Source organism: Homo sapiens, chromosome 14, assembly GCF_000001405.40.
Source record: "Homo sapiens chromosome 14, GRCh38.p14 Primary Assembly".
NCBI classification, from domain to species: Eukaryota; Metazoa; Chordata; class Mammalia; order Primates; family Hominidae; genus Homo; species Homo sapiens.
In genome coordinates, this window is record NC_000014.9 from 70366278 (window position 1) to 70393617 (window position 27340).

The 27340-nt window shown below is 38.8% G+C and overlaps 2 protein-coding genes across 4 annotated transcripts in view; both read right to left on the bottom strand.

The window, feature by feature from the left end:
• Positions 1-27340, bottom strand: part of SYNJ2BP-COX16 (SYNJ2BP-COX16 readthrough) — a 92010-nt gene that overhangs the window by 41197 nt on the left and 23473 nt on the right. For 2 of the 3 annotated variants that reach the window (NM_001202549.2, NM_001202548.2), the window contains exons 2-3: positions 22193-22329; positions 9399-9494 (exon numbers count right to left, since the gene is read on the bottom strand). In NM_001202549.2, the coding sequence (NP_001189478.1) occupies positions 9399-9494; positions 22193-22329 (233 nt within the window). Of the gene's footprint in view, positions 1-6755; positions 6855-9398; positions 9495-22192; positions 22330-27340 lie in introns of all 3 variants that reach the window. The other variant, NM_001202547.2, reaches the window with a different exon arrangement.
• Positions 222-27340, bottom strand: part of SYNJ2BP (synaptojanin 2 binding protein) — a 50592-nt gene continuing 23473 nt past the window's right edge. Inside the window, exons 2-4 of the mRNA NM_018373.3 lie at positions 22193-22329; positions 9399-9494; positions 222-6854 (exon numbers count right to left, since the gene is read on the bottom strand). Coding sequence (NP_060843.2) covers positions 6714-6854; positions 9399-9494; positions 22193-22329 — 374 coding nt within the window. The 3' untranslated portion in view covers positions 222-6713. The remainder of the gene's footprint in view (positions 6855-9398; positions 9495-22192; positions 22330-27340) is intronic.

Sequence of the window (27340 nt, forward strand, 5' to 3'; positions counted from 1 at the left end):
TATCAATGTCCTGTTCCTTATCTCCTATGTCAAAGCCTCAAACTGATCATTTAGATTTCTTCCTCTTTCCACAATTCTGTCAGAGGTGTTACCCTAAGAATATCTAGTACATAGTAAGCACTTATCAGATATTTGCTGAATGAAGGAAAAAACCCTCATCTGGAAGAAAAAAAAATGAGATATTTAATCAACGGTCTTCAAAATAAGGTGAAAAAAGATTGTAAAGATTCAATGACAAAGTTTTATTAAATACCAATACTGGCTAGGCACAATTAGACACATTATTATCTCATTTGCTGTATCTGGTATCAAACAACAAAGCCTGAAAGATTACCATAGATTTTGATGGCCTCATTAACATAATTAATCCGTAGTGACATTCCCTGGATAATAAATACAGTTTTATGTCCGTGTGTCTTCTGTGTCTTCCAAGTTGCTACAGGGCTCTATTTGATCTGAGAAACTGACTGCTGTTTACATCCAGGTATGCAATGTGACATTAGAATTGAAGCAGAAAGGAAGCAAAACAAAACAGGGTTCATGAGGAAAATAATCTTCTAAGAACTAACATGGCCTGGAGGTAAAATGCAAATATATCCGGTAATAAGAAGCCCAGATTACTGCAGATAAAAGATTAAAATAGGATTCAATTATTCATCTCCATTTGCAAATCTACAAACTAGGAGGAAGGACTAACCCTTTTCCTGGGATTAGTAACTAAATTTAATGATTACAGCAAATATAAAGTTCTTTTGTAAATTATTGTTGGTTAAGGATTGACTTGCATTGACAACACACTTTAGCTCTCGCCCCTTTCATTCTCCCCCTGCAAGAACAAAGGCAAAATGAACAGTGAGGAAAACCTGGAAACAGGACCGAGTGTTTGCTATCACTTGATTCCTTTGAAGGAGCAATGCTTTCTCATAATATAGGTTTTATAGTATCATCAAGTACATCAGTTAAGCAAATCAAGTGCTTTGTGTTCTGTATATAAATTACATAATACAAGAGTCTGTGGCAGTTAAGAATCTGGTTCTGCACTTTGGGAGGCCGAGATGGGTGGATCACGAGGTCAGGAATTCAAGACCAGCCTGGCCAAGATGCTGAAACCCCGTGTCTACTAAAAATACAAAAATTAGCCAGGCGTTGTGGCACACACCTGTAATCCCAACTACTGGGGAGGCTGAGGCAGGAGAATCGCTTGAACCCGGGCGGCAGAGATTGCAGTGAGCTGAGATCGTGCCACTGCACTCCAGCCTAGGCGACAGAGCAAGACTCCGTCTCAAAAAAAAAAAAAAAAAAAAAAAAAAGAAAAGAAAAGAATCTGGTTCTGATCAGAATCCTTAAAATACTGTCTTCTTTTTTATCACAATTGCCCTTTTGGATGTGAGTGCTGGTCTCAAAAAGATTTGCAGTTAAAAGAGGAACAGCAAAAAAGACTTACACCAAAATAGCAACCAACTCTAAAACTATTACAGGTGAGAGGTAGACAGCTTCATAACTCAATCTTCTACTACCAGGTGATGTTAAAAAAATACTTTAACATCAAAATCACCTACAAATATTCCTCCACTTTCATATGCTGAGCAATTTCAGCTTAGAGTGACTAAGTGTTATTTATCTCTCTATCTTCGGCACCTAGCACATAGTAGGCAGTCATTAGTTATTTGCTGAATGAAGGAAAAAAACCTTCATCTGACCAACGATAAATTTCACTAAAATTGACTATAATAAAATCTGTATGGGCTCCACATGAAAACTACATGAACTTCACTTCCCCACATACCTGACAGCCTATACACTTCCTTATGTTTCATTTCTTTAAATATACTTTAAAAATTGCTTATTTACACAATAAAAACAATGTCCACCATAAAAAAAAAAGTCTCTAGAACTATTGGAATTAGTCTCAGAATAACTCATCTGATTGGATTTGATATGAGATCATTCTCAGATTGTTCTGTGGAATCTCCCAATTCCAATAATGATGCTTGCAATATCCTTTAGCTGTCTATCAGTTCTGGTCTTTATTCAGGCCCAAAGAGAGAAGAAAGAAGTAGACTAAGATAAAATGGGTAGTCTGTGTATTCATGTAGTGAATATATTCAAGACATAAATATGAGACAGAAAGGTCACTTCTGCAACAAACTAAGTCTGATCAGAGTTAAGTTAGCTTCCCTCTCTGAGCCTTTATTTTTCTCATCTCTAAGACAGATTCATCCTAGAAGCTCTCTGGTCCTTTTTAGCTTCAATGTTCTATGATTGGTTCTCATTTAATTGATGCACCAACTGAAACACTCACTAATCATACATTTTGCTGGAGGTTGATCAATCCTTAGCAAATCAGGAAGAAATGAATGTTCCACTTACTTCGTGCAGAAGCTCAGGAAGCTGGGCTCTAAAGGCCCAAGTTTTTGTTGTTGTTGTTGTTGTTGTTGTTTTGCCTGAAGCAATGTATGTAATTTAATAATTTAAATAGTGTTTAATTAAATAGTGTCTTGTTTAAATGCTATATAACATTTTCAACTGCGGCTGCACACCAGAATCACTCAATGAACTTTATTTTACTGCTGCTTGAGTCCCACCCTCAGAGGTTCCTTTTAATTGATCTGTGTGCAGCCTGGGCATGGGGACGTTTATAAGCTCTCCAGATGATTCTAACCTGAGCAAAGGGAATGATGACTGGCATAGAGCAATGAGTCTCAAACTTTAGCATGAATCAGTCACCTGGAAGGATTACAAAAACACAGATTGTGAGATGCCACGCTCAGAGTTTTTGATTCACTAGGTCTGGAACTTCTTTTTTCTCTTCTGGGAACTTGCTTTTTGTTTTTTGTTTGTTTGTTTTTTTGTTTTTGAGACAAGGTCTCACTCCGTTGCTCAGGCTAGAATGAAGTGGAGCAATCACGGCTCACTGCACCTCAGTCTCCTGGGCTCAAGCAATCCTCCCGTGTAGCTGGGCCTACAGGAATGCACCACTAATTTGTTTGACTTTTAGTAAAGACAGGGTTTCACCACATTGTGCAGGCTGGTCTCAAAACTCCTGAGCTCAAGTGACCCACCTGCCTAGGCCTCCTAGAGTGCTGGGATTACAGGCATGAGCCACCATGCCCAGCCTATGAACTTGCTTTTCTAACAAGTTCCCCAGTAACGCTGATGCTTTTGTCAGGACCTTGCTTTGAGAACCACTTCCAGTGAGAGAATATCATTGATGCTGGCATCTGAAGTCCTGAGTTTAAATCCTGATTCTATTATTACCACCTACATAATCCTAGTCAAGTAATTTTTTCTCTCATTTTTAGTCTCTTTGTGACAATACTTAGATCCCAGAGTTATGAGACATGAAATAATGTACCAATCAGAGTTTGGTACAGTCCCTGGCATAGAACACAATAACAAATATTAACTTCCTTTTTCCATTATACATGGCTAGATGGAACAATTAAGTTAAATCGATAACACATAAGTTGAAACTTCACAGGAAAACAAAGTACAGCTAGTTGAAGCAAACAATATCTTATAATTATACATGTAATACAGAATGATAGAGAAATGTTTTAAGTACTTAAAAATACCTTCGTTCAATTTTCAAAACTTTGAACGTAATAATTTAGGTAGTAGGAACATTAGATGCAATCTATAGAAGAAATATTAGACTCAATCTATGAAGAACATGAATTTTTTTACAACCTATAATGGATCCTGATACCTCATCTATAATTTTAGTTTTCTATAGAATCAATAATATAATTAGTGTACCTGCTTAAAACTGTATTACATTGATCTTCAATGCTACTTAATTTCTGAGAAAACCTAAGTTATAAGAGTACATCAGAATCTCTATTATCAACCAAAGCAAAACTTCTACCAACGACAGAATGGATACTTTTTAAACAAATTTACATATACCAACAAGCAAAAAACTAGAGCTTTCATTCCTGCTTGACATTTTTTTCACTTTGTGTGTCTCAAGGCTCTCTCAGGAATCAGTGTCCAAACCATGAGGTGAATCCTGGGAGGTAAGCAAGCTTGCTGTAGAAGCCGCTGTACATGCCTTCAGGAACAGAAAGGGTACCAGAGGCTGTGCCCTCCTAGTGTGGCTGGTTGGAGTGACAACTAGAATGTTGTCCGTGTTTTTCTGTGGAACCTACAATGAGTCCAGTTGTCTAAGTGAGTCTCAAAGGTATTGAATAGTTGATGTCAAAAGGCACTTTATGTCAGGACTGTTTAAAGCAAGTTTCTCCCTATACCAGTAGTGACCCAGAGGCAAGGTCTTACCGGACCTCTTATTTTCAAAAGCCTTCCCTTTCCAATTGAGCCTGATGCCATTATGTGACATCTTTTTTTCCCTGAATTTCTAAAAGAAAATGTGATGATTACCTGCATATCTTCTTTGTTGCTGCATCGTGTTTTGCATGGTACCCCTTTAATATTGTTTTCAATACTTAGCCTGCTGATATACTTTTAACTTCTCACCTGTTTATGAATTCTCTTAACTAGGCTGTGAGGCCCTTAAGGGTCTTCAACTTGTCCCTTTCCTCCACGTAACTTTCTCAAACGCCCCAGTTCTCAGTAACTTTTCTCTTTTGCTGTCTGTAATATAAACATGACCCCTACTTACACTGTCCTACCTATGTGGCCAATAAGAGTGTTGTCTTCGCAGTTGGAACCCAAAAGCCCTATGGGATGGAGGATATGCACTGTACTTCTTTGTAAAAGTGTCTTGACAAAGCTGATGTCCAATCAACATTTAATTACCAGACTGTCCAAGCTAGAAATGAAATACAGTTGATTGCCTGAGTCCTGATAATCTTGCTAACAAAATTATAAAAGGCCTATAGTATGGCCAATATATTTGGCTAATGGAAATGATTTTCTTAAAGCCAGAAAATTCAGCTACCCATAGTGCTTAAAACCAGCCTTAAAAGAACATGAACAGGATGGTTCCCACCTTATCGAGATCACTGGCATTCCATAGTATCCATTCATTCATATCCTCCTCCTAGGCCGCATGAAACACCTACCACATTTCCCTACCTCCTAAAGCAAACAAAACTCTTTTCCTCCCTCTTGCTGCAAAAAGGTTTATTAAAAGCCGTATGTAGTGTATAAAGCCTTTCAAAAATACTAGCAATCCATGCCTTTCTTTTTTTGAGATGGAGTCTTGCTCTGTAGCCCAGGCTGGAGTGCAGTGGCGTGATCTTGGCTCACTGCAACCTCCGTCTCCCAGGTCCTGGTTCAAACAGTTCTCCTGCCTCAGCCTCCTGAGTAGCTGGAATTACAGGAACGCGCCACCATGTCCAGGTAATTTTTGTATTTTCAGTAGACATGGGGTTTCACCATGTTGGCCAGGCTGGTCTTGAACTCCTGACCTTGTGATCTGCCTGCCTCGGCCTCCCAAAGTGCTGAGATGACAGGTGTGAGCCGCTGCACCCGGCCTCATTTTAACTAAATCTGAAGCCAGAGTTGATTTGATGCCCATCCTGCCAGGGAGGCAGTTCCTTCCCTCAGGTTTGTTAGTAGAAACCAAAAAGTAGCCTGAGAGGGTTCAGGTGCCACCTTGGAGGCACTACCTTATCTTTTGTCCTTTTAGAGTTTTCTTGCTGGGGTGTTTGGCTCCAGCACTATAGCCCTTACCACAATCATTCCACCTGGTTCTTCAATAGGACTCTGAGGTATCAAAAAAGTCACTAGGGCAGCCCAGAGATTGGTACGATTTACCTTTACACCTCAAAGTTTTTTAGATGTGAGCAGCGCTGGATTATGGCAATTTACCTTATAATAACTCACCATAGTTGGCTGTTATAAGAATAAATATTGTTCTTCTAAGATTTTTAATTAGTTGCTTCAGTTATTACATTTTTTTCTATTTTTTTTTTAAATAGAGATGAGGTTTTGCTATGTTGCCCAGGCTGGTCTCCTGGACTCAAGCAATCTCCCACTTCAGGCTACCAAAGTGCTGGGATTTACAGGCATGAGCCACCTCTCCCAGTCTCAGTTATTATTTTAATAAATGAGACTGAACGTCCTCTTATAAGGCTCACTCCCTTGTTCCTACTACATTTGCTCTGTTTAAGTATCTCTTTAAATTCTTCAGTTAAGATCATCCCTTTTATCAGAAACCTAGACACCACAAAGTAGCTTTCTCACCTTTAATTCTCCATAGGGATCACTATTATACTATAATATTTGCATACGTATGTGTATATATGTATTTGCTTTTTTAAAAAAGTAAAAATGCTCTTCTCACTCTTTGTCGATATAGGCACCCAGGTACGTAGTTAGAAATTAAATAAAGGCCACAATAATTTCCCAAGGAAGATCATTAAAAAGAAAAATCCTTTCTTCCTCTAATATCACATAGCTGGCCTTTATGGCATGCCAGCTAAGAAAAAAGGTATTGCCTATGGTGACAGGAAGACTCAATCTTTCTCTCTTTGGGTTGTAGCTGAATTTCTATCAAAAGTCCTAGTAAAATATATAACTCCTCATTTGTTCTAAGCCAAGTCTTTTCTTCAGTTTTCCTTCAAACAATACCTTTACTTTCCCATTAGAATATGAAGAATTGGAGACTGTGAACAGCAAGGTTTGGGGTGGGTATCAGTCACTTCAAATCTGGCTATGCAGAGAGAGGGAAAGACATGGCAGAATAGCAGGGGTGGAGGGTGAGTGAAATGTATCTTCATTGGGAGTATTGAAAGAGAGCAAGTTTTTCAAAGTTGTTGCCGGTATCTCATGAAAGCCCAGGCTGCTACCATGGTGAGGGCAAACACTGGCACCAGCACCATAAATATGGGAATACCACTTGGGTCCCCTTCACCTCGATGTCCTATAGGTCCATTCTGCACCTGTAACTGGAAGGGAAAGAAAAATGTTAACTCTAGTGACTAATGTGTGTTTGCAACTGAAACGCCCAGGTTGATACATCACCTGGGTTTGTAGACTCTAGACCACCCAAAACTGTAACCCCCAGCAATACCTAGCAGAAGGAGTCCTCTCTTTGTCCTGAGCTGATGCATCAGTGTCACAGGATCTTTGGAAAGAAAATAGGTCTAATGGGGAGGCATTTAACCTTGCTGACCTAAAGGGACCCGTGAGGGCAAGTCAGGTAATTTCTGTTTCTGTACTGCCTCTACCTTGCTATTTGTGTATCGTATCAGGAAAATGAAGACATGAGATAAAACCTATGATCTTATAGGGAACTTGGATATTACTTGGTGAGGAAGAAGGGGGATCTTTCTGGAAATGTTTACTTAGATAATCAGTCATCAAAATGTAGTAAGAGCAGATGTGGGCAATGTCAACATAGGTGCAATACCAACATACGTCCAATGCCATTACTTGAAAAATGCTTTCCAGATCCCAGAAGGCACCCAACTCCCTCCAAAGATGGGGTTTTGCCCTTCATCTGCTCATTTCTAATACTAGAGAGAGATGAAGGTGAATCTATATGGAACAGATGTAAAAAAGCAAAAAGAAATTATATCCTAGTGCTTATAATTTTCTATTGGCTAAGTGTTTCCTTTTGAGGCTGGATGGTCTTCATTTTAGTGATGGTTTTCAGGGTAGCTCTTCTTAATATCAACTTTTAGTGGCTAACTTGCAATAATTATGGCATCATCGTATTTCAGTTAAACTGCCTCATTACAACTCATAAAACTGACACTTCAATCTGAAAGGCAAGACTGCATGAAATACCATTATACCCTCTATTCCACCTCTATGTTTTTCATTCATTTGCTGATGAGCTGTCCTGAAAGGACATGCTCAATAAGAAGGCATGGTTTTTAGGGCTAGGCCAATTGCCTGAACATAAGGGTCTTTTTTATTAGGAATTATTTATGGATGTTTCCTTAAAAGTGAACACTGGAAATAACTTCTCACATACCTTCCAAAAGAATTGTAATCATATTGAAGTGTGTCCCTATATTTACTTGTTTTTATCTACTGCACAAATGCTCCCATGCTTTAGAAAGAGAAGAGCCAAGGCAGAAGCAACTGATGACCAATATTATCTCTTATTAACCTGTTTTCTAATCCATTACACCCAGATTCTGCTTGCAACTGGTTGTTTTCTCAGGTATCTTTCACGTTCTGCCTTCTCTACTTTTTTAGGAACTCCTCTAAATGTTCTTAAGCTTCTAAATCCTTAGCCACTGAGTGAGGAAGAGTGCACCTATTTAAGAAGTAGCAAATTGATTTAATTTAAAGGCACATGGAACCTGTTTTGTGAATATGCTCAGAAATTCTCAATGCTATAGGAGGAATTATATCTACCCAGGCTTCCCTTTACATCATCATCCAAATTATAAAACACTTGGAAATAAGAAACAGATGCAGGGATAGGTGCTGCCTTGACTGAATTCTGAATTCCATTTCCTTTTTCCTGGAGTTCTCCTATGAACACTAAAGATTTGGTTAAGAGGGTCACCAAGTTGATAAATGAAGGGTTCATGGCAGTGACAGGGAAAAGCATATAGTGGGTACCAGAAAACCCACCATCTTTGTAGTGTTTTATCCAATGGTTTTATAAATAAGTTTTCAGCGGTAGACATATGGTTCCTTCCCTACCAAAAAGTAAAATTGGCTACGTTTTTTTACCATCTTTTTAATTAATTAATTTATTTATTTTCCATTGGTCCATGTCACTCTTAAAATTTTTTATTTATTTTTATTATTATTTTTTTAAGAGATGAGGTCTCTCTATGTTGCCCAGGCTGGTCTTGAACTCCCGGGCTCAAGCAATCATACCACCTTGGCCTCCCAAAGTGCTAAGAGTACAGATGTGAGTCACCACACCTGGCTTTTCTTTAATCATCTGTTTTAATTTGGTTGTCAAGCTTTATCTTTAAGGCATATTATCTTGAAGCAAGGACCTTGGTTATAAGCCATACTGTTGTGAATTTCTCTTTTTTTTCTCTTTTTTTCTTTTTTTTTTTTTTGAGACAGGGTCTCACTCTCTTGCCCAGGCTGGAGTATAGTGGTATGATCTTGGCTCACTGCAACCTCTACCTCCTGGGCTCAAGCAATCCTCCCACCTTAGCATCCCAAGTAGCTGAGACTACAGGTGTGCACCACCGTGCCTGAATTTTTTGTATTTTTAGTAGAGATGAGGTTTTGCTATGTTGGCCAGGCTGGTCTCGAACTCCTGGCCTGAAGTGATCCGCCCACCTTGGCCTCCCAAAGTGTTGGGATTACAGGTGTGAGCCACCGTGCCTGGCCTGAATGTCCTTCAATGATAAGCAGAAGTACCAATGGACCCCTCCCTTTGCCTGAGAAACTCTTCAGGGGAGTGAGGGTAAAACAAAAAGCAACACTGAAGATTACACACATTGGGCTTATTCAGAAGTACAGTGCAAAAGCCTGGTGCCAGGTTTCTGGCTCAAAGTGATACCTACCCTGTGCTGCACTCTCAGAGACACAGCATAGCCTGCATTACGAAAGAGGTCTACAGCATCCTGGTGCAGCAGGTTCTTTAGGTCTTGGCCATTTACCTGTCAAAACACCAAAGAGTAGTAAGAAAGGAAGAAGGCTATTAGAAGTCAACAATTTATTTTCAAATGGCCAAACTTTAAATAACAAACTCCTTCAGAGCAAATTGCAAGGACTAGGAGTATGGGCAAAGTTACTTAGAGCTCAGAACTTAGAACTTTTTTCATTTTCAAAACTATGTTTTCCTAGAACTGAAGTTCCACAGGCCATCTGAAGAGAACCTATGTAAAATAAAAAGTGGTCTCTCCTTCCTCTTAGCTTCTATGCCTGTCTCGTTTTGACACTTGGGAATCTGTTACCGTATTAGCATTTCTTCCATGAGTGTTAACCTGCTTCCTTAAAGATAGCATGGTCTTCCAGGTTACCACCCTAACCTTTATATTCCTAAGCCCTGGCATTGCCAGCTGCAACTGTAGAAATATAACTCTATGAAACTCTCCACCAATTTATTTTGATGTCATATAAATCTATACTAGCCCATTCTATTGGGCTTTTCATAGTGAACAACTTCCTGTGATTCCACGGATACTCCTATCCATTATATCCAAATTAGTAAATTAGTCATTTTTTAATCAAAACTTAGTAAAAACCATATTCCTGTGATGATATAAATCCTTAAAAAAATTTCAGTGTAGGTCACTCCTACCACTTAGAGGTGAGAGATGTGAAGGAATACTTGTATTAATACTTTTTGCAGTTAGGAGTGACATCGGCCACAAGTAATAATCTATCTATCCTATGCTGTATTCAGTGACACAGCACAGCCCACTTAGTGCAAGATTACATATCTTTTATACTTGTCAATGTCATCGTTAACAGTAGCAGCAATAAGAACATCTGATATATTTCTTTTGATAGGTTCTGTACTTTACATACATTATCTCTTTTAATTCTCATGATAACCCTATGAGGTAGACATTATTTTTATCTCGTTTCCACAGATAAAGAAACTTGAAGCTCAGTGAGATTTGTGCTGGAGCTAGGGCTAGGATTTGTAAATAATGAAAGAAAGATCAAAGTGTCCTTGCATTTCACTGTTCCTTCTGCACTGTTATTCTTCCATCTTGACTCACCAACTATCCTCTGCTCAGCTAATGCTCAAGTCACTCCCTTACTCAACTCTCTCATTTTCCTTGTCGCAATCTTCCTTCTCCAAGGCACTCATAATCTTCCCTCTACTCTCTCTCTTGCCAATACAGTTGGTGAATGAATCTACCAACACTTCTGCCCTATAGACAGTCTACCTTTGTAAACCAATAGTTTCCAACTCCATTCCACTTCAGTCACCAATTGACGTAAACTTAGACTTCAATATTAGACATGCTTCAGCTCCAATATCTCAAACTCTTAAAAACCTGACAACAATTTCCACTCTTTTCATACTTTCTATTCATCTACTGAATTTCCTCCTTGTAACCTTTTTAGACTTTACTTGCATCCTTGCCCATCTAGGAGTTCCTGTTGTAATTTCAACAAAGCACTTGGTAAATCATTAGAATCCTTTGTCCCCAAGATCTTCTGCCATCTTTCCAGTCCTGGGCCATATTCTGCAATCCTTTTCTTGCCATCATTAAGTTGAATATTCTGGGAGAAAGGTATATTCTCATTCTCCACCATAGACCCATACTAGCTGACTCCAGCTCATCCTTAAAACCGCTTCTACTCATTTGCTGAACTCCTTAATAAACACGCAGTGATAGCTGTTCCAGACCTTTTTCCACCACCGTCTCCAACCCCATTTCTACCTCTCTCCCTAGCTGATTCCTTTATCTTTTGTGAGAACACTGAGGACTTCTGATAAATGCTTTCTACATTTTCTTTCCTTCTCCCTCAAAGTTTCTTTATATCTTCTCACTACTCCTTTCCCCTAGTCTCTGAATTAGATCTATTTCCTTTTCAAGGTGAAACCATCCACTGATGATCTTGATCATACTTCTTCTAACCTCCTTACAAAACTCACAGACACTCTGTCTTCTTGATTACTTAACTATTATCTTTCTCTGCTCCTTCTCTCAACTAAAATTATACACCTCTATAAAGAAAACAATACAACTATTTCTTGGAACGCATTATCACTCTCCTCCCATCTTCTTTCCTCTTTCTTTGACTGCTAAATTTGTTCTAAGAACTGTTTGCATGCACTACCTCTATTTCTTCAGCATTCATTCTCTATTCCCCTGTAATCTCACAATGTATGAGGTAGAAGGGAAGAACATGTTTTTCTAAAGGTCACCAATAACTTCCAATCACCAAATCCTATAGCCGTTTTTGTCTTCAGACCACCTCCTCCCTTTTGTAATTTTCTCCTATCTTGGCATATGAACACTTAGCATTCTTTGTTCTTAAATTATTCCTTTCCGGATTTCCTCTTCCCTTTCTTTCTCCTTAAGGTGAGTCAAGGTTTTTCAGTATCAATCCTCTATCTTCTTTCTTTCTCTCCCACTGTGAGCTTTAACAGTTTCAACCATAATCTGTAAGATAACTCCCAAATTTGTATCCCTACTTGTACTTCTGGATTTGCCAGTTTCTTGCTGGATGCCTACACCTGTATACTCTGCTAGACCCTAATTCAACATATCCAAAACCTCTTTATTACTTCCCACAAAAATCAGAATACATACCTTGCTTCTTATTGCCACTATCATTCCTTCAAACTTTTTTTTTTTTTTTTTTTTTTGAGACAGAGTCTTGCTCTGTCCCTCAGGCTGTCACAGTGGTGTGATCATGGCTGACTGGAGACTTGAACTCCTGGGATCAAGTGATTCTCCTGCCTCAGCCTCCGAAAGTGCTGGGATTATAGGTGTGAGACATTGTGCCCCAGCCCAGGCTAAAATTTTAATAATAGTTTTAAACTCTCTCTGCTGTCAACTTTCATATACAATAGATTGCCAAACTCCACAGTCTAACACTATGACATCTCTCATACAGTATTTTCTTTCCTATTGCCTATTTTAGGCTGTTGACACTAAAAACAAAACAAAAACTTGGGACCCCAATCCACCATGTCAAGAGAAAAAATTAAGCTGCAAGCTGAGTCATGCAATAAACTGCTTTTCCTTTTGTTCCCAAGCAGATAGCTACAGATAACAGGTTAAATATCTCCACAGGTAATTACTCTATGTTCACCTTATCTTATGTAAAGTCCCAACTTACTAAGCAAAAGAAAATACGTAATTGACTATTCCCTTGCCTGCTCCTTTCCTCTGGCAACATGTGGATTACCATACCTTCCCTCTTTGCTCTTCAGCCTACTTTAAATATTAAAGCCCTCAAAATCATCTTTGGAGAAAGGAACATACCTGTCTCCCAGGCATGTCCTTAACCTTGGCAAAAGAAACTTCAATCAATTTAGAAGACTCTTGGTTTAAAATACTCTTAGTTGAACTACTGTGATCACTTCTCTCTGATTTACTTTTCTCTAGGTTGGAACCGATTCAAATACTAGGTCTCCAGATTAATCTTCCTAAAGTACAATTCTGTTACTACCACTTTACTGCTCAAAAAACAAAAACAAAACTGGGGAGCAAGGAAAGAGTACATACCTCGTTTCTTATGCTGATATGGAAAGTCTTCCAGGAAATGACTCTAACCTATCTTCTCAGGTTAATTTCTATTTCCTTTCCTATATCCTATACTCTAGCTAAGTCACATAACTCACTGACTGGGACATAAAACATATTTTTTACCTTTATACCTGTGCTCAAACTGTATCTACCACCTAAATGCCCTTCCCTTTTAAAAAATTCTATTTATCTTCCAAGATTGATCTTTAAAAAGGATCAGTCCTGCTACCTACAGTGTAGAAATGAATACAGTTTTCTAGTCGAGGGACTTTAATTTCATGTTATGCCTTGGTTTTCTTGTTAGATATGCTGTAGGAAAAGAACTTCAGGATTTCTATAACTATCACAATGAATTCTCAATGACTCAATTTTCTAGTTAACTCCTGACAGAATAGGTGTGAGATTGCTGACTGTCATGGGAATGCTCACTTAAGTAATCTAGCCCATGTGATAGCTCTATTTCTCATTATAAAGAAATAAGTACTTTCTTTAGAGGCAGACAAGTAAGTTAATGATGCAGTCATGTCAATGAATGCCAAATGATGTCACAGCTCAATATCAGAGCCAAGGTTTCATAGTAATATAAATGCAAATGAGATAACTGGGTCACTATATTAAATGGTAGAAATACTGGGCTTAAAATAATCTTTGCCATAGTAGTCAGTAATAATTGCAGAGAATTATTGAACATAACCATGTCTGGAGCTGTCTGTTCATCTTACATGTATTAACTCATTTAGTCTTCACAATAGTTCTGTAAGTTAGGAACCCCTATTTTATAAGTGATAAAACTGAAGTGTAGAAAGGCTATCAATTTATCTGTGAGCAAACAGAATGAAAGCAGCAAAGCCAAGGATTCAAACTCAAGCAGGCTGGCCCAAAAGCCTTCACTTTAAAACACTAATCTATATGAATTTACATGGCAAGCAAGGATTTTATTTCAGCAACATATTACTGCCTATCACATATATGTTGTAAATTAAATTTTTATTGGTTTTGCCATTTAGTTTGTATTTAATGTTACACATTTAAAAAGTGTTAAGAGTTGAGGCCAGGCATGGTGGCTCACACCTGCAATCCCAACAGTTTGGGAGGCCAAGGAGGGCGAATCATGAGGTCAGGAGTTCGAGACCACCCTGACCAACATGGTGAAACCCCGTCTCTACTAAAAATACAAAAATAAGCTGGGCGTGGTGGCGCACACCTGTAGTCCCAGCTACTCGGGAGGCTGAGGCAGAAGAATCACTTGAACACAGGAGGCAGAGGTTGCAGTGAGCCAAGATTGTGCCACTGTACTCCAGCCTGGGCAACAGAGCAAGACTCTGTCTCAAAAAAAAAAAAAAGTTAGAGTTGAATAAAAACAAGGTATTTATATATTAATATTACTATTCATTTGTATATACAGAAGTAGCATTAAAATTAAAAAAGCAATTTAGTTAGGTGCCACTTCATTGACAAGGCCTTTCTAGATAACGTCACTAGATATGACTGATTTACTTCTTTGAATACTCTGTAACTCTGAATACTATGCAACTATATACTTTGAATACTGTGTAACTCTCTTAAAGTCCAAATTGAACTCTGCCTGACACCACTTTGCATTCTATTGTAACTTCAACATGTATCTCAGCTGATCATTATAACTCTACAATACCTAAGAGAACTTTGTACACTTGAGCATAATAAATAGCACATGCTTTCCTGAAGTTTGGCTGCAGAGTGCACCCTGAAAAAGCCATAAATACACAAAGCCTGACTGACATAATCTCAGTACTACATAAAGCTGCAAGGCCTGGATTCTAATAGTAGCTTTACCTGCCAATGATTCAGTGTGTAATCCTGCCCCTCCATCTGAGTCTCCTTCTGCTAACAGGGAAGAAAGACATTGGTACATCAGGCAAAAGAAGATGTTATAAAGGGCATAGGCCAGTTAAGCCAATTATGCCTTTCAACCCTCCTAGTTAAGGCTAAAGGTATTCTAATTTAAGAGACGTTATTCTAATGACTACTTTAAAACCCCAAATAAGAGACCTTTTAGAAATGCAAAGATAATTCTTTCTTAAAGAACCCTTTCGCATCCTTTACCCAAGGTAAACCAGCCCCTAAAACATGTCATGATTACGACTTTCTCCCTTGACAATATCATTTCTACTCCAAAATTGAATTTGCTCTCCAATACTGACATCCTCTAAGCATTTTTAGATTCCAGCTGCTCAGTGACTAACCACCAAGTTCTGTAGATTTCACCCTTAAGTATCTGTGGAATCCACTCTTTTTATTACCATCCTTACTAACATAGACCAGTGGTTCTCAAAGTGTGGTCCCACCACCAGCAGCCTTAGCATCACCTGGGAACCTGTTAAAAATGCAAACGTTTAGGCCTCATCCTAGCTGCACTTTAACACTCCTTCAAAGTGATTCTCAAGTCTGAGTTAGTTCTTACCTAATCTGCCTGAAACAGTCTTTTAACTGGTCTCCACTCCCAGACTACTTCCCCTATTTAATATACCCCTTTCTACATATCCCTTGCATCTACAGATTTCATTAGTACTTTTCCATTCACTGGAGTAGTAATTTTTCAAATATTGTGAAATCAATCCAGTGGGTCAAGACCAGTTGTTTGGCCGGGCGCGGTGGCTCACGCCTGTAATCCCAGCACTTTGGGAGGCAAAGGCAGGCGGATCACGAGGTCAGGAGATCGAGACCATCCTAGCTAACATGGTGAAACCCTGTCTCTACTAAAAATACAAAAAATTAGCTGGACGTGGTGGCAGGCGCCTGTAGTCCCAGCTACTCGGGAGGCTGAGGCAGGAGAATGGAGTGAACCCGGGAGGCAGAGCTTGCAGTGAGCTGAGATTGCGCCGATGCATTCCAGTCTAGGTGACAGAGGGAGACTCTGTCTCGAACAAAACAAAACAAAACAAAAAAGTTGTTTATTTTTTAAAAAGTGAAATTAGAAGAAAACAAAATATCAAAATTCATCACATATAGAAAAGTATTGTTGTGTTAAACTTTTGCTTCAAATACACACACACACTCATTTGACGAATAGGAAATGTATGTCATTCCTGTTATAGGTTATAATTTAAAAGGTCTGAAAAACACTTGCCTACAGCAGTGGTTCTCAAACTTTACTGTGCACAGGCTCACCACGGGATCTCATAATGCAGAGTTTGATTCTGTAGGTCTGGGAAGGGCCCTGAGATTCTGCATTTCTAACAAGCTCCCAGGTGATGGCCAGACTGCTGGTCCTTGAACCTCACTTTTAGTACCAGAAGCTACTCGGCTGAGTAATCCCAGAATTAACTTGCTACTTCAGCTTCCTTAACTCATGACATAATAAGGTTTATTGAACCTAAGATATGGCAGATTTGCAATGTGCTAGAAAATTTCGCTGACTCTGAAGTTTCAGAGAATGAGCATGGTGTTGTTCTAGTTAACTGATGAGGAAACATACTTTTTTTTACTTTAACTCTGGTTGTTAGCATGTTAAAATGTGTTTCCTATTTCCTGCCTTATGAAATCAGCTGAGTTAAAATTAGTTTTCTTTGATTAAGAATTTTGAATTGCCTCAGGATATTCTAAAACAAGATCTCTGACTTGTAAATGTAGAGACATAGAGAAAGAATGGGCTCAATTTAATACGCAATAGATGTGAGAATATACTCTGGATATTGTAATTTTTTACTAAGATCCTGCAATGAACCACATTTTTTGGTCTCTTTTTTCATCAATTTTTGAAGAAACCATAAAAATAGATTATTTAGATCCAATCCAAAAAAGTCAGTGTGTTATAATGCAGGGGTTAATTCACGGAACTAACTTATTAGATGCTTACTCAGGGCCAGGTACAGGACTAGATGCTGGAGATAAAGAGATGATAAGGCAAAGATCCTTCCCTGGAGGTATTTTATTTAAAGAATGCTGCTGTATATTTCAACATCTCTGCAGCTGATTGGATGAGGGTTTCTGCTGGGTCTTTCTCACTGATTTCTAAGGTAAGCGCAGAGACCAGTGTTTCATTTCCTTTGTAACTTTCCCATAGCACTTGGCACAGTGCTCTGAAGGCCATTAAGTACAATAGTTGATAAATGTTGATGACTAACCAACTCTTTCATTCACCAAATTAAAAACTGTACTCACACAGAATATGAAATGAAGCTGGCTAATGGCTCAATCTGTGCCATTTTGTTATATAAGGGGTTTGTTCCATGTTAAAATGGAACATTCAACTGTGTAGTATGACCAGCTACGTCACCCTTAGCTTAATAAAAATGTCATGTTCACTGAGGAATGACTATTCTTCACCTCCCTTCATTTAGGCAGACACACAAGGAATGAGAAACTTAGTTCACTTTTCTAAAAATAAAAATTAAATTATTCCAGGTTCCATAATGGTTTATTCTAATAATAAACCATTCTCGCCAGCATACACACACAAAATGAACCATGGGTGAGGAATTTCCAGCCTTCGTAATAGCCATTTTTATTTCATGGTTGTCAGATGCAACATGGCCTTAAAAATCATTTACTGTCATTATTTAAGAAAATTTTTCTTTCTTAAGTTTAAATCATCTACAGTGATCATAAAAAATGAAATTTCACTTTTGATGAGAAAGAGGAAACTATTTTTTTTTTTTTTTGAGATGGAGTCTTGCTCCATTGCCCAGGCTGGAGTGCAGTGGCGCGATCTCGGCTCACTGCAAGCTCTGCCTCCCGGGTTCACGCCATGAAACTACATGATAAACCATGCAGTTACTTAATTTTAGAACTTGAAAGCAAGATAATATGTGGGAATTACTTGGGGAGAATGAAAAGGTTAAATTAATAGCTAATAATAACTCTAGGAAATTTACATGTCACATAATGTTACTTAAATCAGCTATCTAAAATAGGTATGTGCTAAGGAAGAGATACATTTTTAGTTTATCTAGCAAACATTACTAGAGGAAAAATGGGGCATATTTTATAACATGGAGAAATAACCTATGCGTGGAGCATAGGAAAATACATAAAAACTAAATGAGAATTTAGACTAATACATAATTTAGCATCATTTTTACAGAGACTTCAAAGCCAATAATAAATGAATACTTAAGTACATTTCATAGTTATGGCCTAGAAGTTCACTTAAGGACAGAGAGGGAATACGATGTCACGGGTAAGTGATGGAACAGGCTGTTTCATAGTATTTCTTAACGAATGGGATCTAGAAAGAAGAATTTTGAAGCAAACTCTTGTAATTCTCACATGTCATGGGAAGGACCTGGTGGGAGGTGACTGGATCATGGGGGCCACTTCCCTCATGCTGTTCTGGTGATAGTGAGTGAGTTCTCATTAGATCTGGTTGTTTGATAAGTGTCTGGCACTTCCCCCTACTCTCTCTCTCCTGCCACCTTGTGAAGAAGGTACTTGCTTCTCCTTCACCTTAAAAACATGATTTTAAGTTTAAACTTAAAACTTAAAACCATGATTTTAAGTTTCCTGGGGCCTCCCCAGCCAAGTGGAACTGTGAGTCAGTTAAACCTCTTTTCTTTATAAATTACCCAGTCTCACGTAGTATCTTTATAGCAGTGTGAAAACAGATTGATACAGCCCCTGATATGTCTTCTATCTCTGCCTCTCCTTCCCCTGGCTTTTCCCCTCTCTTCTTTGGATGCCTTTTCCTTAAATGGCCAAAACATAAACATATCATTCCTTGTAACATATCTTTGTAATATTTAATATCTTTTTACATCTTTATATTTCTTATATTTTGGTAAAGTAAAATCTTCTTTGCTATAAATTTAGACATCTACTTTTCTCTTCATTGACATTTATCTCCCATCATTTATCAGCAGCTCCAGCCCTTTTTTAAAACTTGAGAGGCCTTTCAATAATTTATTTTCTCTGTGAGGAAATGGTCCACATAAGGTTCTCAACTTGTATCTAATAATCTTCTTTACATTGAGGTTTATTTCCTTATTTCTGATTCTACCCTTTATAGAAAGACGAATTTCAGTTTTTATCTTATTTTATTTTTATTTTATTTTATTTTATTTTGAGATAGAGTCTCACTCCGTCGCCCAGGCTGGAGTGCGCTGGCATGATCTCAGCTCACTGCAACCTCTGCCTCCCAGGTTCAAGCGATTCTCGTGCCTCAGCCCCCTGAGTAGCTGGGGGACTACAGGCGCGTGCACCAAGGCGCGTGCCACCATGCCCACCTAATTTTTTGTATTTTTTTTTTTTAGTAGAGACGGGGTTTTGCCATGTTGGCCAGGCAGGTCTTGAACTCCTGCCCTGAAGTGATCCACCCTCATCAGCCTCCCAAAGTGCTGGGATTACAGGCATGAGCCACTGTACCTGGGCTAATTTTAGTTTTTATATAAAACCATACATGCAATCTACTATTAATTCACCATGTAACTTTGTCTTTAGGATAACTAATCCTAGCTCCTCATTTACCTTTTAGGAGGCAGTATAACAGTATAACATAGTGGTTTAAAAAAAGGCTACAAATTCAGACAAACCAGTTTGAGTCCCTTGCTGCTTACTAATTGTGTGACCTTGGGCAAATGGCTTGGGCACAATAATCATGCCCACCTCATAGGATTACTATAATATTAAACAAAATAAATTTCAAGTTCTTAGCATGTTACCTGACATTTAGTGCTCAAATACTTCTCACCATTCTCATTTTGCAATAATCTACGTTTAACCAAAGCTTTTAAAATAATACAGCTCTCTTCTTTCTCTTCTTAACTCCTATACTATTCTTCATCCACAGAGCCCAGGTTCCAGTGTTCTGAGGATAATGTAATTTATGTGTCAAAATATTAAGCTGCATAGATTCTAACTAAATGCTACACCTTTATTTTAACAACCCACTCTCAGCATTCCTTACAGTACCACTGCCAAGTTGATTCATATTGGATGAATGTCTTTCCTTGGGAGCTAAAGGAAATAATCTGCTTCTAAACTTTTCACTATCCTTTTGAGAAGACAGGTATATTATCACTGTCTCCATCTCACTGATTAATAAACAGGGTCTAGGAGAAGCTTAATGGACTGAAGAGAGGCAGAATAGTCAATGAGAAGGACTGAAATACTGCAGTGCTTGATACTATATTTATATTATGGATCAGCGAGGACACATGCTTAGACATTCTTGAGCTAATTTAGGTGGCTCTAATAGCTACTTGTTCTGATTTTCTTTCTTTTTGGGGGACTAAGTGGAGTCACAGTCTTCCTGAAGAGGCATTCAGAACCATACTGCTGAGCCTGATCACTCAAATACTCAGATGCCAAATGAAGAAAAGGTGGATGTTCTCTCTCTCTTTTCCTTTGTATCTCTGCCTTCAGGTTCTGCTACCAAATGGGCTTCATGGCAGAGAGGTGTTCAATAAGCTGACAACTAAGAAGAGCAAGAGATTTCACACATATGACCTTTAATCACTAATCACCTGAACTGCATGAGAAGTAATGTGAAAGGGAAAATTCAAATGAAACTATATAGCAAAAAATTTTTAAGGGATGAAGCTAACTCATTATAGAGGTAGGTTCAAAATCATGTATCTGAGACCAATACTTAATTCTGCCAATCAAGACTTCTCCTGTCTGTACTTCATTCATTTATTTCAACGTTTTCCCAACGTGGCCATCTTGCCCTATTCAGTTCTAAAAGAAAACAGGGAATAGTTTTCTCCTCTTCGGACCATGGGCTTATGGCCCATCTGGAGAGGATAGGGCTCCGAAGCCCTATCCTATTTCAATTTCCTTTTATTTAAGTCTAGCCCTTTGAAGCCAGCTCTCCCAAGAATATTCTAGATAATATCTCACCCCCTCAGCATTTTTCCATTCTTTATACCAATCATCTGCACTGTTTCCATACAAGTAATAAGCTGGCCATTTTTCACTAGTCCTGAAGATTAATAAAAAAAGAAATTCTACAGAATAATTATCTCCAACTATACTCCCTTATCCCCCAGCAAACTGATAGTATCATAGGATTACTGTGGCCCATGGTAAGGTAGAGAAATGAACAATAGGGCCAGAGTTATATTTTGCATTTTAATAGTTTTGACTGTATGCTTGTTCTAATTTATTTTAAGACCTGAGGTCTGTGGGCCCATATTTATCAGTCAACCTTTTTAGGTTTGCCTGAATTTCTTAACTTGTTCATTTCTTAAACATTATTAAGCACTGTGCTATGATTCAAAAGGTTAAAAAAAGATCTTAGGCCGGGCCCGGTGGCTCACGCCTGTAATCCCAGCACTTTGGGAGGCTGAGGTGGGCGAATCATGAGGTCAGGAGTTCGAGACCAGCCTAGCCAACATGGTGAAACCCTGTCTATACTAAAAATATAAAAAATTAGCTGGGCGTAGTGGCAGGGGCCTGTAGTCCCAACTACTCAGGAGGCTGAGGCAGGAGAATCGCTTGAACCCGGGAGGCAGAGGTTGCGGTGAGCCAAGATTACGACCCTGCACTCCAGCCTGGGTGACAGAGCAAGAATCTATCTCAAAAAAAAAAAAAAAAGGATCTTTTCACTGCCCTTGAGGAAATATTCTGGAAAATAGTAAGATTAATAATTACCATGTAGTATGTCTTCGTAGAGACATTAGCAGGATGAAATGGGAACACAGCGGACAGGTACCCAAATCAACTGCATTCCAAATTTTCATGTTAATAATGGGTGAAAAAGGGCTCTGAGTCTGAAAAGGACACTTAACTCCAACCTTCCTTCTTTCTGTTTTGTGATGTTAAATCCAATTATAAGGGCTGACATTCCCCCAAAGGAAGATACACATTAGTGTTTTAATCAACAAAAGGAGGTGATAAAGTAATGGATGAAAGACAAAATTTGTGGATTTTAAATCTCTTTTCCCCATATGAGTCCCTCGCTGCTTCCTGCCTTGTGCTTTTTGAACAAGTAACTTCACATTCTGGGCTTCACATTCTCATCTATCAGGTGAGCATAATGTTGCCCTCCATGCTCAATGATAGGGTTGGAAAGAATGACTGATCAAAGTTGTTCCCATTCAACTCTACAACCTGTATATTTCCAGATCCAAATCTTTTCAAGGAAAAGGGATAGGGAGGGGTAGGACCTAGGGCTTAGGGAGCAAAGGACAGTGAAGGAGGCCGAAGCCCATTCTCACCGAAAGGATCTTATCACCCTCCTGGAGCCGCCCATCCAGGGCCGCAGCCCCATTTTCTTTGATGCGGCTGACGTAGATGCCACTGTCGTTGGAGACATACTGCTGATCTGTCCCACCGACGATGTTGAAGCCCAGCCCTGAGAAAATCATGGAGGAGTAAAAAGATGGGGGTGAAGAAGAAAGAAAGAGATTAGAGAAGATGAAGAGAAAGGGAGGGAAAGCCTACTGGGGAGGAAAGGCTGATGGAGAGGAGATGCTGGCGAGTCAGCCTGTGATGGAGCTGGTGAATGGTCATGAACAAGGTCAGCCATATCAAGAGTATTGAGTTGCTCACTCAAATGAGGCACGACTGAAAATATAAACACAGTGATCCACCTGTTTTGTTCAATATATAAAGAAAGATCTATATAGAACTTAAAGAATAATGGTGATTACTCTAAGTTCGTTCTTCTTTTTCTTTTTTTTTTTTTTTCAGAGTCTTGCTAGTGGGCATAGTGGTGGGCGCCTGTAATCCCAGCTACTCAGGAGTTCATAGCTCAGTTGCCCAGGCTGGTTATGAGCTCCTGGCCTCAAGCAATCACTATTGCCTTGGCCTCCCAAAGTTCTAGGATTACAGGTGTGAGCCACCATGCCCAGCCTAGATGTAAGTTCTTCTACTCACATTTAGTTTTGATCCTGTTGATGGTATTCAAAGGACCCAATTCCTGACATTCCTGATATTACTACAGCAGGGTTAGCTGTGTTCATCAAAAGAAGCTATGCATTTTTACCAATTATCAAATGAACTGTTCCTAATTTAGTGTGAGAGATTTCTAACCATACCTTCCCTTCCACACTTTCCTTCTCCCAAGCTTCTGGAGAATTTATGTATGATAGTGCTTTAGAAAAATCTCTTGAGAGTTTCTTTTTTTTTTTTTTTTTTTCCATTTTGGTGGTGGAGGCAGTGGTGTAGGTATTGGCAGAGAAACCTCAGAACCAGAAAGGTAACTGCTATTTCATGGTAGGACTAAATCACCAAATTTACTCTCCCTTCCTTCGCTACTTCAAGTACAACCATATATAGGTTGAGTATCCCTTATCCAAAATGCTTAGGACCAAATGTGTTTTGAATTTTGAATTTGGGGGATTTTGGAATATTTGAATTAAACTTACCAGTTGAATATCCCTAATCCAAAAATCTGAAATCTGCAATGCTTCAATGAGCATTTCCTTTGAACGTCATGTTGGCCCTTAAAAAATTTTGGAGTTGGAAGCATTTCAAATTTCAGATTTTTGGATTTGGGCTACTCAATCTATACTTGGGCATAGTAATTGACAACTTTTATTCACTGTAGAAAAAACTGACTACTCGTTGATTAGCAACTCCCCAGTTCCTCTTCCCTAAGTCCTTGGAAACCACCATTCTAATATTTGTTTTTATGAGTTTAACTATTTTAAATGCATATAATTTTAGTTATGCAAGATGAATTAAGTTCTAGAGATCTGCTGTACAACATTGTGCCTACAGATAATACTATATCATACACTGAAAAATCTGTTCGGAGTAGATCTCACGTTAAGTGTTCCTACCACAGTAAAACAAAATATTAAAAGAAAGAAAAAAGAGAAGGAAAGAAAACTGAGTACCAAAGTGCTATTTCTATGGACCAATGACTAAGTGCTGGAAAGGATTTTACTGTACAGAAACCGTTGTTAGGAAAGGATTTTACCTATGCATAAAAAAATAAAAAGGAAAAAGGAACTTCTCTAGGGCTTTCTTAATGTCAGCTACTGGTAGAATTCAGGGGCACAGTGTAAGACAAAGGAGATAGTTTGGAAACAAACCAAAAATCTAGCGGTGCAATTGGAAGGAATAACCATAATCACCAGCCTACACTGTTCTCAATAGAAAAGATACTTAAAGAGACATATGCGGGGGGCCGGGCGCGGTGGCTCACGACTGTAATCCCAGCACTTTGGGAGGCCAAGGCAGGTGGATCACAAGGTCAGGAGATCGAGACCATCTTGGCTAACACAGTGAAACCCTGTCTCTACTAAAAATACAAAAAATCACCTGGGCATGGTGGCAGGCACCTGTAGTCCCAGCTACTCGGGAGGCTGAGGCAGGAGAATGGCGTGAACCCGGGAGGTGGAGTTTGCAGTGAGCTGAGATTGCATCACTGCACTCCAGCCTGGGCGACAGAGCAAGACTCCATCTCAAAAAAAAAAATAAAAAAGAGACATATGCGGGCTTTCTGAAAGTTCTCCCCATTGGTGGGAGAAAAGCTTACACCTGAAGCTCACAGTATTAACATAAGCACTAGCAAATCAATTTGTAATTTAAAGAAAAACATGACCAAACAAAGACACAACAGGAAACATTTAAGTTAAAAAGCATACCTTAGCCAGGCATGGTGGCTCACGCCTATAATCCCAGCACTTTGGGAGGCCAAGGTGGGTGGATCACTTGAGCTCAGGAGTTCGAGACCAGCCTGGGCAACGTGGTGAAACCCCGTCTCTACCAAAAATACAAAAAATTAGACACGCGTGGTGGCACATGACCAACATTGGGAGGCTGAGGTAGGAGGATCATTTGACCCTGGGAGGCAGAGGTTGCAGTGAGCCAAGATTGTGTCACTGCACTCCAGCCAGGGTGACAGAGTGAGACCCCCATCTCAAAAATAAAATAAAATACATAAAAAGCATACCTTGTGCATAAAATCTCTGCAGCTAGATAATAGAAAGAATTTATTCTCTAAAATAATATACATAATAGAAAGTGCTACTTCTGGAGTTTGTGACCTGGCTGGGCAACATAGCAAGACCCTATTCTCTAAAAAAATAAATAAGAAGGTGCTACTTCTGGAAGATGCTATTTTAACTTCCTTGAAGGGCTGGGTATTAAAAATAGTAGCTTAACTTACTAAATGATTTTCTTAGAGCACCCTCAATTTGTATCATAGAAGGTAGGAAGTATTGGAGAAGGTACAGAAATGTAAGATAAGGTGGAAAAGCAGATGGAACAAGATTATCGAAGGTTTTGAAATGACTTCAAAACTGTGACAGCTTTGAACAAGGGGGCCAAGGCCAACCCACCTCTCCCAAGCTGGAACAAACTATGTAGAAAAATCTTTTGATGAAATCCAACACCCTCATCAAATGCTACAGTTGCCTCTGGTGATCTTGGGAACAGGAAGCAAATGTTAAGCAGCTGAATGCAATGTAGTAGTTAGCAACAGAAAGGACTTTGCTACTGGTTATTCAAAGCTAACTGTAGAAAAAAAAGGAAGAGTAGAAGAAATTTTACCGAGATTTACCATAAACAAAAAAGAGCCGTCTACTACACACCCCATCGAAGTCATATTATATAGGTACATTTATAACCCGTTGCTACTTCTGTTGTAAATGAACCAAACTATTTAACATGAGAACTCCTGGACTGACCTGAAGCCCTTTGTTCAGCCAGAATATTTACAGAACTGGGTGTATCTATAAGCCAAAGCATTGCTGCAATAAAAGAGTCACCACAGCATTAAGTAGTGGCATGACCAACTGAACCTGGGCTGTACGGATACCTACATAATCCCCAGTTCACTTGCTCAGTAAAAATTACTGATTGAATCTTATGTGTAAGATGTTGTGTTATCATCTGAGGAAGACATAAAGTTAAACTGCACACTCCCTGCTTTGATCACAAACTGGAGTTTTTCCTTTTTCCTGTCCCTTTAAGATATTGCAGAAGCAAATCAACATTTACTATGTGTTAGGCATTACGTTATGCTCTGAGGAAGATATAAAGCTAACCTGGACAGTTCCTATTTTAACCACAAACCCAAATTTATCCTTTTCCCTGTCCCTTTTAGATATTGTAGAAGCAAATCAAAGTCAGAAGACTTGGTTCTAAGTTTATAACTTACCAGATATGTGGACTGAAGCAAGTCAGTTTACCTCTGATCCTCAGCTTCCTTTTCTACAAAAATAAGAATTATAAATTCTGCCCTGTCTACATCAATGGGTAAGTGTTAGGGGCCAATAACATAAAATACGAAAAAAAATCTTCATAAACTACATAGTAGTTGCTCTATTGGGATAAGGCGCTAGGAGTAGTTGTCAATAAACTAATGGCTGCTAAAGCTCCAAACTAGATAGTTTGACAGAGAAAGAATGAATAAATATACAGTAGAAATGCAAAATCTCCTAAAAAATGGGAAGACAGATTTTAAAATTCCACCCATCTATAAACAGGAACTCAAACTTATTAAGTACGTCTATGGCATGTGACCTAGAAATCCCCCTTAAGAGTAGTTTCTAGCAAGTGTGATATCTAAACTCTGCGGCAATCATCCAGCATATGGACCAACCAATTGAAACAGATGTCAGTTGGAAACCACCAGAAAGGGAAAGGCTATTCAATACGTATCTTGCTAATCATTGGCTATGGCCCAGAAAAATCTTGCATAAGTAGGGTGACCACATATCCCAAAAGCAATTGCCACAAAAGCCAAAATTGACAAATGGGATCAATTAAAGAGCTTTTGCTCAGCAAAAGAAACTATCATCAGAGTGGACAGGTAACCTACAAAATGGGAGAAAATTTTTGCAATCTATCCATCTGACAAAGGGCTAATATCCAGAATCTACAAGGAACTTAAACAAATTTACAAGGAAAAAACAAACAACCCCATCAAAAAGTGGGCAAAGGATATGAACAGACACTTCTCAAAAGAAGACATTTATACGGCCAACAACATATAAAGAAAAGCTCATCATCACTGCTCATTAGAGAAATGCAAATCAAAAGAGATGCCATCTCATGCCAATTGGAATGGCGATCATTAAAAAGTCTGGAAACAACAGATGCTGGCGAGGATGTGGAGAAATGGGGATGCTTTTACACTGTTGGTGGGAGTGTAAATTAGTTCAACCATTATGGAAGACAGTGTGGAGATTCCTCAAGGATCTAGAAGCAGAAATACCATTTGACCCAGCAATCCCATTACTGGGTATATACCCAAAGGATTATAAATCATTCTACTATAAACACACAGGCACACATATGTTTACTGCAGCACTGTTTACAATAGCAAAGACTTGGAACCAACCCAAATGCCCATCAACAATAGACTGGATAAAGAAAATTGGCACATATATATCATGGAATACTATGCA